This window comes from Homo sapiens, chromosome 12 (assembly GCF_000001405.40).
Source record: "Homo sapiens chromosome 12, GRCh38.p14 Primary Assembly".
Taxonomy (NCBI): Eukaryota; Metazoa; Chordata; class Mammalia; order Primates; family Hominidae; genus Homo; species Homo sapiens.
In genome coordinates this window covers 43,370,029-43,382,655 of record NC_000012.12, presented here as the reverse complement: position 1 = coordinate 43,382,655, position 12,627 = coordinate 43,370,029, and the positions used below count along the sequence as shown (strand labels likewise).

The window sequence follows — 12,627 nt, the reverse complement described above, 5'->3', positions numbered from 1 at the left end:
TTAACATCTTCTTCTGGACATCTAATTCTAACATCTATGCACATGTTTATAATTTAGCGAATTTTAGTATAATCACCTGTATGTGCAAGCATCACCATGATCTAATCCCAGGCCTTTTTATCACTCCCAAAAAAATATCTGCACCCATAAGTAGTAATTCCTTATTCTCACATTTTCTCCTAGTCTCAGACAACCACTAATCTGCTTTCTGTATCTGTGGATTTGCCTGTTCTGCACATTTGGTATAAATGGAATCATACCATATGTGGTCTTTTGTGTCTAGCTTCTTTCACTTAGCATGATATTTTAAAACTTTATACAAGTTTTATCATACATCAATGCTTCATTCCTTTTTATGATAAATAATATTCCATTGTAGGAATATACTATATTTTGTCTATTTATTTGTCAGTTGATGGACATTTGGATTGATTCCAATTTTGACGTTTCAATAATGCTGTTAGGAACATTTGCATACAAGTTTTTGTGTGGATGTATGTTTTCAATTTTCTTGGGCATATACCTAGGGATAGAATAGCTGGGTATCATAACTCTATTTAATATTTTGAGGAACTGCCAAACTGTTTTCCACAGTGGCCACACCATTTTTCTTTCCTATCAGCAATGTATAAAGGTTCCTATTTCTCTCTCCATATCATCATCAGTCATCAACAGCACTTGTTATAATCCATCTTTTTTTTAACATAACCATCCTAGTATGTATGAAATGGTATCTATTTTATGTTTAAGTTGCATTTCTCTAATGACTAATGATGTTGAGTATCTTTTTGTGTGTGTTTTAGGTATTTGTATATCTTTAGATAAATGTCTATTCAAATCTTCTGCCCATCTTTTTTTTTTTTTTTTTTTTTTTTGAGATGCAGTCTTGTTCTGTTGCCCAAGCTGGAGTGCGGTGGTATAATTACAGCTCACTGAAGTCTTGACCTCCTAGGCTCAAGCAATCCTCCCACCTAAACTTGCTGAGTAGCTGCGACTACAGCCATGTGCCACCATCTCTAGCTTTTTTTTTTTTTTTTGTAGAGATGGGGTCTCCCTGTGTTGCCCAAGCTGGTTTCTTACTCCTGGGCTCAAGGGATCATCCCTCCTGGACCTCCAAAAGTGCTGGGACTATAGCATAAGCTACCATGCCTGGCTGCTCATTTTTTCACTGGGTGAGTTGTAAATTATTTATATATTCTGGGTACCAACTTTTATCAGTTAGATGATTTGCAAATATTTTCTCCAATTCTGTGGGTTATCTTTTCTCTTAATAGTATGCTTTGATGAAGTGAAATTTATTTTGTTTTTTGTTTTAGTTCTTTGGCTTTAAGTATCATATCTAAGAAACTATTGCCTACTTCATGCTCACAAAGATATATATCTATGTTTTCTTTGTAGGCTTTTATAATTGTAGCTCAGACAATTAGGAGTTTGATACATTTTGAGTTAATTTTTGTATGTGATGTGAGGTAGGGGTCTAATTTCATCCTTCTGCATGAAAAGATTATTCTTTCCCCCATTGAATTAGCTTGGCATCCTTGTCAAAAATCAATTGACAATTGACCATAAATGTATTGGTTTATTTCTGAACTCTCAATTCTATTTTCTTGATCTATATGCCTATCAATATATTATTACCATGTAGTCTTGATGACTGTAATTTTATAGTAAGTTTTGAAGTCAGGAAGTATGAGTGAACCAACTTTTTTCCTTCCTCTTTAAGATTACTGGGCTATTCTGAGTCTCTTACATTTCCATGTGAATTTTAGGACCAGTTTGTCAAGTTCTATGTAAGAGCCAGCTGAGATTTTGTTAGAGGTTGCAATGACTCTTGTTCAACTTGGTAGATATTATTATCTTAATAATACTGTCTTCTTATCTACGAATGTGGAATGAATTTCCATTAATTTAGGTTTTAACTTATTTCAAGTGTGTCTTATAGTGTGCAAATCTTGCACTTCTTTTAATTTATTCCTGAGTATTTTTTATATTCTGTAAATGGAATTGTTCTATTAGTTTCATTTTTCTTATTATTCGTTGCTTGTGTATAGAAATAGAATTGTTTTTTGTGTATTGAAAATTTTTTGGGGGATTTAATTATTTAGTGTGTGGATTAAATGGGATTTTCTACTTACAATATCATCTCATCTACAAATAGAGATAGTTTTACTTCTTTCTTTAAAGATGGATGCCTTTTGTACCTTTCCTTGTCCAATTTCCCTGTCTAGAAATTCCAGAATAATGTTAAATAGAAGTGGTAAAAACAGACATTTCAGTCTTGTTCCTGCTCTCTGTAGGAAAACTTTTAGTTTTCCTAATTCAGTATGCTAACTATGGATTTTCTGTAGATTCCCTTTATCAGATTGAAGAAGTACCCTTCTAGTCCTAGTTTGCTTCATGTTTATATTATGAAAGTGTGTTAGATTTTGTCAAATGTTTAGTCTACATCTACTGAAATTATCATATTTTTTGTCCATTCTTCTATTAGTATGGTGTATTACATAGATTGACTTTCATATGTTACAATAATCTTGCATTCCTGGGATAAATCTTACTTCGTCATGGTGTATAATCCTTTTTATGTGTTGCTGGAATTGTTTTGCTAGTGTTTTGTTGTAGAACTTTACATCTATATTCTTAAGAACTACTGGTCTATAGTTTTTTTTTTTGTGATGTCTGTCTGGATTTGGGAAAAACTGGCTTCATAGGATGAGTTAGGCAGTGCTCCTTTTTATTCTATCTGTGGAATACTTTTGGCAGACTTGGTGCTAATTCTTCTTTAAGCATTTGGTCCTGGGCTTTTCTTGTGTGAAGTGTTTTGGTTACAAATTTAATCTCTTTACTTGTGATAAGTCTATTCAGATTCTTCCTCCTCCCCAGGGTTTGTTGTTGCTACTGTTTGTTGTTGTTTGTTTTTTAGTGACTTTTCTGAACTAACTGTTAAGTCTATATTGTTTGTCATACATGGCCATTGAAGTCTCTGCTCACTTAGTTTAGTTGTCAGCTATGACTAGACAGTAATTTCCTTAATATCTGGAACCAATAATTTTGGTTCCCTAGCCTTTGCCAAGGTACTGTGTGTTGGGGGGTTGGGAGTAGGGTGTGGCCTTCAACACTCATCAGGTTGTTGACAACTGTTCCTTAATCTTAACTTTCTGCTTGTGTAGAGCCTTGAGGTCAGCTGGAAGAGAGGCTGCAGGCCCTCCTCAGATGCTTCCTGAGCTTGCAGACAGACCTGGACATGTGTACAATCTGATGCATGTTCACGGCCATCTAGATCCCATTAATACACTGGAGCTTTTCAAAGCTCTGATGGACATCTTATTCCCTAGCTTTTCCTTTTAAGCCTTTTTAGCTAGCCTGTTGTTGCTCCAACTGTTATTCAGCATCCTGGAAACTGCAAAGTTAAACAATGGTTTTTAATTGAGCGCAACAAATGTCCCTAGATTTTTAGCACTGAGCAGGTCAGGTCAAATAAAGACATTCTTGCAAGTGGGGTCTTCCAGAAAACCACTAAACAGTTCAAATAATGACAATTCTCTGGGAATGAGGCTTTGAATGATATCCAAGCCTGTTCTGCTCCCCTCCAGTGGCTGCCGGAATTCTGGTTTCACCATAATCACAGGGCTGTTGATTTTGAAGGTTACCATGGAGCTAGAAAGAAGAGAATGGAAATAGGAGAAGTTAAACCATCACAAAACTTGCTCTTCTTACCAAAAGTTAGCCATGTTTATTGAATAAATGCCTTCTGGATTGCTGCAAGTCTTTGGTCAGTTTCTAGAGTTCTGAAAAAACTGATCGGGCAAATTTTGCCCATTTTGTCACTGCTATTATAGAAGAGAGAATTTTTAGATGTCCTTACTCTTCCATTTTCACAGATGTCACCCCTCTAGGGATGTTTTGATGGACAGGTTTTTTCTTCATTATGAGTCTTATTTTCCAGGTTCTTTGCATTCCAATTAATTTTCTGTTGCATGTCAGCCATGAATTTTACCTTTTTGCTGACTAGATATTTTTTATTCCTATACATGTATTTTGAGTTTTGTTATGGGTTGCATTAATTTTGTTGGAGAACAGTTTGACTCTCTCTTGCCTTGCACTTAAGATTTTGTAGGCAGATCAGTATATTGTTTAATCTAGGGTTAACTGTTCCTCTCTACTGTGGCAAGACCCTTTTGAGTACTTTACCTATTTCCTCATGTATTTAAATTTTCCAGTCTAGCTGGAGGGAATAGGCACTATATTTGGTTCTGTGTGATCATTAGAGAAAGTAACTTCTAAGCCTTTTGTTTGGTTAATTGCCTTACTTTGGTTGGTGTCCTCACAGGTATGTACACACTGCTGGTCAGAGCTCTGCTGCCTTCCTTTCGTTGTGCCAAGACCTGGAAAGTTTTTCAAAGCAGTAGGCTGGAATGATTTTATAGTGTCACTTTGTTTCTCATCTGTCATGGATTACTATTCTTTACTGTCCAATGTTGAGTGTCTTAAAAGCCATTGCTTTATATATTTTGTTCAGATGTTTTAGTTGTTTAAAGTTAGAAGGTAAATCTATTCCTTGTTACTCCTCTTTTGCTAAAAGCAGAAATCTATTTGCCCATTTTTGGATTGGGGCTTTAATTTACACCTAAATCACTTACCTATTTTAGTCAAGTGTTATTAGACTTTACAGTATATCTATGAAGATACATGTGTGCTAACTTATACATAGTTACCAGTGATCTAAGGCTAATAGATGCCCTTTATTTCCAGTAAGGACCCTCAAAATGTTTTATTCCTCCAATGCTGTGCCTATTGGGAGATATAGTTTCATACAATTAAGATGGTAATGTAATGAAAACACACACACACACACACGCACACACAGGCACTACAGCTAGAAAATCTAGCCTGGATCTGAGTTTCTTTCCTTTATTGGTACAACTCTGGGAAACTTGTCTAATGTCTGAACCTATGTTTGCTCATCTGTAAATGAAGCTAATTAAATAGGATTGTTGTGGAAATGACACAGCATAATATATATTAAGCATCTGACAAATATTAGGCCCTGGCTAAAGTTAATGACATTTTCTTTCTTGTAATTATGTATTTTTCAGTGTGCAAACAACTGTGGATTTAGTTACAGACAAAGGATTACATATTGCACCGAGATCCCATCTACTAAGAAACATAAGCTCCATCGACTTCGGCCTATAGTTTATCAAGAATGCCCTGTGGTGCCTTCCTCTCAGGTTTACCAATGCATTAACAGCTGTTTGCATTTGGCCACTTGGAAAGTTGGAAAATGGAGCAAGGTCGGTGTACAATTATGAATTTTAAAACTTCTGAATAAGACTTTCTAGGTGTGGGAAATCTGGTAATCTGTTTGTATGTCTAACTAGATCCTCAGAGTTGCCTCAGACCACTATTTTCTAAAATCCACATTACCAGTTATTTATATAAATATTTTATCTCTTGTTCGATGCTTGCTATAACTCGCTTAAAGCAGAGACCATAACTCATACTTATTTCTGTTCCTTAGATAACTTAGCACAGTGGCTTGCACTTTGAGTAAGTGCTTAAGAAATATTTATTGGTTAAGTGAAGAAGTAAATAAATCTAATATATGAGTAATAAAAGTTATTTATATCATATTCTATTTCCAATTTAATTGATAGAAAGCAAGTAAATATCACTTTGCAAACTTAGCATATAACTTAATGAGATAGTTTTAATTACCATCACTGACTAATGTTTATTAAGTATTTACAATGTATTGTTGCTAACTGCACAAAATGAATTAAAAGAAGCCAGTAACTGAGAAATAATAGATTCAGGCTCATGCCTAAGGATTTTTCCCACCGGCGACTATCCAGCCCCCAGCATAGTTTTGTGTCTTCTGTGTATCTAGCCACTACTGACCCTCAGTGTGCTCCAGAAATACCTGGTCTAAGAAAAGGAGACTTGGATTTTATGGCCTTAAGATTCATAATATAGTTTGCCTTCAAATTTTACTCTTTTCACAGTGCTCAGTGACTTGTGGAATTGGGATAATGAAGAGACAAGTGAAATGCATTACCAAACATGGTTTGTCCAGTGACTTATGTTTAAACCATTTAAAACCAGGTGCTCAAAAGAAATGTTATGCCAATGACTGTAAGTAGTAGACTTCAAAAATCTAATACCTAAGGGTTTCTAATAAGTTTCAGTTAAAATAAATATCTGTAGTAGTTTCACACTCCACAAAACAAAGTGTCAGATATTCAGAGTGTAGCAATATTTCTATGATTAAGTTCTTGCTGTGTTTGTAATTTGCTCTGTGTTAAGTTGTGTTAATTTGTCTTTGAAGGTAAATCATTTACCACCTGCAAAGAAATTCAAGTGAAAAACCACATTAGAAAGGATGGTGACTATTACCTTAACATTAAGGGAAGAATAATAAAGGTATTATGAAAACAGTTCCTTTTTTATTTTAACATTGATCATTGACTTTGGAAAAAGTTTTTCTAGATGTTTACATTTTTTCTTTAGATTTATTGTGCAGACATGTACTTGGAGAACCCTAAGGAATATTTAACACTGGTCCAAGGTGAAGAAAACTTTTCTGAAGTGTATGGCTTTAGGTACGAGATGTGTTTTGGTCTATCTGAGCATTTTCATGGTCCTCCAAGAGAATTGGAACTTCTAGCCCTCAGAGTGATACTTGAATAGCTTACATGTGAGACAAATAATGTAGGAGCAGGTAGACATGTTAGGACCTAAACTAGATGTTGTTAATGCCTGTTCAGAAATAAAGCCTTGAATACTAACATGTATTGTTAATATTGACTATTAACAGAGAGATTGACTAAGAATACTGTGGGTGAGAAGTCGGACATAGAGAAGGGAAGAATTTAAGAACTATGTGCATTTTCATAAAGTCAAACTAATTCCAGTAATCAAAGCTAGAAGAATGCAGTTGAATTATTTTTCTACAAGCTCTTCTTAGATGTTTCATTGAAAATGTTGTATGTTCACCTTAAGTGATTTTTGCTTCTTTCTTGTTTAACTTGTTGACACTATAATATTAAAGAGCAGGAGTGTGTTTTATTTTTCTACTCCCAAAGTTTGTCTACATTATGGCCTCGTAACTGCATCTAATACTAAAATATCCCAATGTTGTTACAGACTAAAAAATCCATATCAATGTCCTTTTAATGGGAGTAGAAGGGAAGACTGTGAATGTGACAATGGACACTTAGCTGCTGGATACACTGTTTTCAGCAAAATAAGAATTGATCTCACTTCCATGCAAATTAAAAGTAAGTGCTCAATCTATATTTTAAAATCAAAAAGCCTCCATTTGCTTATGAACGTCAAACAATATGTTGGTATATGTTGTAGCCAGGGTACAGAGAAGGACCTGACATTGTGCAAAAATTACTTACTTTTTTTAAAAACAGTTAGCTACATACTTCCTCTGCAATGACATGCACCATGGGGCTTTTTTTTTTTTTTTTTTTTTTTTGAGACGCAGTTGCACTCTTACTGCCCAGGCTGGAGTGCAATGGCATGATCTTGGCTTACTGCAACCTCCACTTCCTGGGTTCAAGCGATTCTCCTGCCTCAGCCTCCCCAGTAGCTGGGATTACAGGCACACGCCACCATGCCCAGCTAACTTTTTGTATTTTTAGTAGAGATGGGGTTTCACCATATTGGTCAGGCTGGTCTTGAACTCCTGATCTCAGGTGATCCACCTGCCTTGGCCTCCCAAAGTGCTGGGATTACAGGCGTGAGCCACCACTCCCAGCTGGGGACTCTTAATAAAAATGTAATGACAGTAACAAGTAAGATACTGCCCTTCCAAGATAAAACCCTCTACCTTAAAATCCTCAGGTACATTAAGGATAAGAAAGTTAATATCCTCGGTCTACTTGTGGAAGCTTTTTGCAGAGTTTAAAGTAATCATTTACATTAGTTTCTAATGATAATTTATCAGGTATTTTCCCATACATTATCTCATTTGACCTTTTTAACACTCTTGTATTAGTTAAGGCAGATACTATATCACAATGTTGTAAGTAATATGGAAGTTAAGCAATTTGTTCCATTCATACAGTTAGTACTGGCATTAGGGAAAAAAAGTCCTACTCATAGACCTTAGATTATAGATCATACTGCTTATCTAGAAAGTAATTTATAATACAATCAAGTCAAAACGTATTTATAGAACTTCATATGCACCTGGCAAATGCAGGCTGCTGTCCAGAAAGTTACATATCTACATGAAGAGGCAAAAAAGTGCATTTCACTAGCAGAGACTCCATCTCAATTGCCATTGAATCATCAGTGCCTAGCATGGTGCATAAGTCATAGAAAGCAATAAAAAAAATTAAGACAGTATATGCATGAATATATAATATATAAATTATAGTCATAAAATTATGAACCATTATTATTAATAATGATGGCTATCATTTACTGAACATCCACCATCTACTACAGTGTGGAAGCATTATATTACTATGGTTACAATAATAAACTCTAGACTGTCTGGGTGTAATTCTTTATTTATCAGCTCTGTGACTTTGGGCATATGTCTTTAAGCCTCGGTTCCCTCATGTGTAAAATGAGAAACTATTACTAAGGTTTTTTTCTTCATTTCCTTTTTCTTTCCTTCTTTTTTTATTCTTGTTTGGTGAGGATTAAGAGATGATATTTCGGCCGGGCGCGGTGACTCACGCCTGTAATCCCAGCACTTTGGGAGGCCGAGGCGGGCGGATCACGAGGTCAGGAGATCGAGACCATCCCGGCTAAAACGGTGAAACCCCGTCTCTACTAAAAATACAAAAAATTAGCCGGGCGTAGTGGCGGGCGCCTGTAGTCCCAGCTACTTGGGAGGCTGAGGCAGGAGAATGGCGTGAACCCAGGAGGCGGAGCTTGCAGTGAGCCGAGATCGCGCCACTGCACTCCAGCCTGGGCGACAGAGCGAGACTCCGTCTCAAAAAAAAAAAAAAAAAAAAAAAAAAAGAGATGATATTTCTAACATATCTAGTCATTGTTTTACATATAATACAAGCTTGTCAAACCCACAGCCTGCAGCCCTCATGTGGCCCAGGGCAGCTTTGAATGTGGCCCAACACAAATTTGTAAACTTTCTTAAAACATTTTGAGATTTTTTTTGTGACTTTTTTAGCTCATAAGCTATTCTTAGTGTTAGTGTATTTTATGTGTGGCCCAAGACAATTCTTCTTCCAGTGTGGCCCAGGGAAGCCAAAAGATTAGACATCCCTGATAGAGTACATGCTCTATAAATATTGGTTATTATTTAATGATGTATATGGTTATAAGTATGTTATTAGCGCTCTAAGTTTCTAATAGACACTCAATAGCTTATTTGCTGTTAACTAGACTGCTTTTTAACAAAGCTGCCATTTTGCCAGGCATTGGTCTGGGCCCAGAGCATGCAAGCATGCAATGTCAAATATATACAGTTTCTCCTCTCTTTTTCTTCCTTAAACTTGCATGGTAAAAATCCAGCCTTGATTAAATTAAATCTCCACCCATTCTGTGCTTGCAGCATAAAACTGAATGTGGCAAATAATACACAGCCCTTCTGACTGATACCATTTTAAACACATGAGTACTAAGCTTACACGGATCCATGGCACTGCCAAATAATCCTACTGCACTTCCCTAGTCCATTCTCTCTCCTACTTTTCTAAATGTCTAACTTATACCTTCTCCTGTAGCTTCAAATTTCAAAATTTTTAATACCTCCACTCTACTAACTCACTGCTGGTGATCTTGCTCGCTATTTCACTGAGAAAATAAGAATCAGAAGGGAATTGCTCAAGTTCCCACTGCCACATCTACCAGCCTACCTGAATCTTTACCTATCTCCTTGCTTTCTCCTGTTTACTCTGGATGAACTCTTCATGCTCCCATCCAAGGCAAATCCTGCTCCTTGTCCTCTAGGCTCAGTGCCTTGTACCTACTCAAGAACGTTATTTCAGCATATTTCCTAATCTCTCTCACATCCTCAATTCTGCTGCTGAATCATTTAAATTCTTCATAGAGAAACATTTTATTTCTTTCGTCATAATCACAAGCAAATCATCTTGACCTCTACCTTTCCAGCCAGCCACTGACCAGTTTCTTTGTGTTCATTTATAGTAAAATTTCTTAAATGAGTTATAATCTGCACTCTCCAATTCTCTTTCCCCATGCTATACTCTAATCAATCTCTTATTCATGTCACTTCCAGGAAACAGTCCTTATCAAAGTCATCAATAACCTGTTTCCTTAAATTCAATGATAAAGTCTTGTTTTCCATCTTACATGATGCATCAGCAGCATTTGGATCCCAGGACACCATCCTCTAATGGTTTTGTGTCTTTCTTGACCACTCTTTCTCCTGTCTTTCTCACTGTTTCTCGACTTGGCAAGTTATTCTTCATCTTCTACAACTCTGAATGTTGAGGAGCTATAGGATTCAGTTGTTATTTGGGAATCTCATTAAATTTATAGATTTCAAGTACCATCTATTAAATGACAGTCCCAAATGCACATTTCCAGCTTGGATTGCTACCCTAACCTCCAAAATCCAACTGTCTACTCAGCATATTCATATGAATGTCTAATAGGCATGTCAAACTCAATGTATCCAAAACTGAACTTCTAACATTTCCTGCCAAACCTGCTGTCAAACCCAAATGTTTACCACTGCAGTAAATGCCACCAATAATATTCTACTTAGTCTAGCTAAAACCTAGCAACATCTTCAACTTCTACCTTTCTTCCACACCCACATGTAATTCATCATCAACTTCTGTCAGGTGAATTTTCAATGTGCATGCTGTTATGGACAAAATTGTGCATTTCACTGGTCAACAAGAGTCACCATGACCTTTCCACCTCTATTCCCTCTCAGTTTTCTGCTGCCCTGAGCCCCATGATCACTCCTACTACAGACACAGTGGCCTGTTTGCTGTTCCTTGAACACACCAGGCATGCCCCCATCTTAAGGCCTTCGCACTTACTGTTCCATCTGCCGGGAACATTCATCTGTAGCTGTCTGTGTGGTTTACCCCTTCATTTCTTTTGGGTCTCTGCTGAAATTTATCTTCTAAATAAGACCATCCAGAACCACTCTCCACCACTAAATTCTCTTCCTCCCCATTCTATTATCTGCTTTATTTTCTTTCCATAGCAAGTATCACCCCTAACATACTGTAATATTTGTTTTATAACTTGTCTCTTCCTGGTAAGACTCAGGTTCCATTGGCCTCTGTTTCACCCACTGTTGTGTTCGCAATATCTATAATACTGCCCAATGCAAAATATATTGTAAATAAGTATCTGTTGAATTAAAAGTCCTCGCTTTTCTCAAGAGGTTTATAGGAACAGATAGTTTGAACAATCTCAAGACAACTTTGAGTTAACAAAAGAGGCAAAAAAATGAGTTTTAGGAGGAGGGAGAAGCATGAACAAAAGCATGGAAGGGAGAAGCATTTTGGCGATATCAGAGAATAAAAAGCAGTCTAGTTTTGTCTAACATAAATCAAATGTAGGTTGGGGGATGGTAGCTTATTAGAAAAGTTCGCAGGGAGCAGATCATGAAGAACAGTGCATACTAAACTATACAATTGAATTTTATCTTGCAAGTTATAGGAACCATTGGAATAAAGGCATAAAGGCATAAGCAGGGGAAGGAATAGAGTTGGTTGGAGGCAGAACAGATTGTATCCATGAAAAATGATTAGGAAGCGAATGTAACAATTCAGATAAAAAGTGATGAGTACTGGGAACATGGGTTAGGATACCTATTTGAGAAATATTAAAGAGGTAGACACTACAGGATTTTCTGATAGAAGGGGTGTGAGAATTAGTGACATGGAATATTTAGAAAGGTTTCTAAAATAACAAGACAGATGGTAGTACAGTTTAGTGAAATGGGAAATAGAGCAGGGCAAATAAATTTGGAGAAAAAGATAATGCATTTAGCTTTGAACATGTTAAATTACAGATATCTGTAGGTCATCCAAGTAATGATGCCCAATAGGAATTTGATATATGTTCTGTAACTCATCAGAGTCAGGTGGACTGGAATATATACTTATGAGTCATCATTGTGTAATTGGCTGATGAAACTGGCTGTTGACTGACATGCTTTTGGAGTTAGTAACAATAGATGCTTTGAAAGTTGTGTCTCTGCTCTGCCCCAGCATAATCCACAAATGCCACAAATAAATAGTGGTGTGCAGATGAATGACGACCAGTTATCCAGGGAAGAAAAAGTCTGATTTGTGGTGTCAGGCACTAATATATACATGGTGTATGTATTCCCACCCTGACCAATCATGAGCTACCAACATGACCTCATTGTACCTGGGCTTGGGAAGAAATGCACAGAGTTGGCTCTCACTATTTGGTACAAGCTGGCTCTGGTAAACCATGGAGAGCTTCCTGGTTTTTGAAACTGCCCTTTGGAGATATGACAAATATTTCCAGAAATGCTACCTTTGGGAATTGCCTCTGAAGGACTGATGTCATCCTGGGACATGCAGTGATTTTGCAGTCTTGAAAGTGAAGAGATTTGGAATACATAGTGGAGGTGACAGCCACTGGCTAGATGATTTGGTTGGGATAATATTTGATTCAAACATGAAT

General features: G+C 36.6%; 1 protein-coding gene across 3 annotated transcripts in view; it reads left to right on the top strand.

The window, feature by feature from the left end:
- The window catches only part of ADAMTS20 (ADAM metallopeptidase with thrombospondin type 1 motif 20), a 199,441-nt gene that overhangs the window by 169,548 nt on the left and 17,266 nt on the right, over positions 1–12,627 (top strand). For all 3 annotated transcript variants that reach the window (XM_011538754.3, XM_017019979.2, NM_025003.5), the window contains 5 exons: positions 5,094–5,291; positions 6,003–6,132; positions 6,326–6,420; positions 6,508–6,599; positions 7,144–7,277. In XM_011538754.3, the coding sequence (XP_011537056.1) occupies positions 5,094–5,291; positions 6,003–6,132; positions 6,326–6,420; positions 6,508–6,599; positions 7,144–7,277 (649 nt within the window). The remainder of the gene's footprint in view (positions 1–5,093; positions 5,292–6,002; positions 6,133–6,325; positions 6,421–6,507; positions 6,600–7,143; positions 7,278–12,627) is intronic.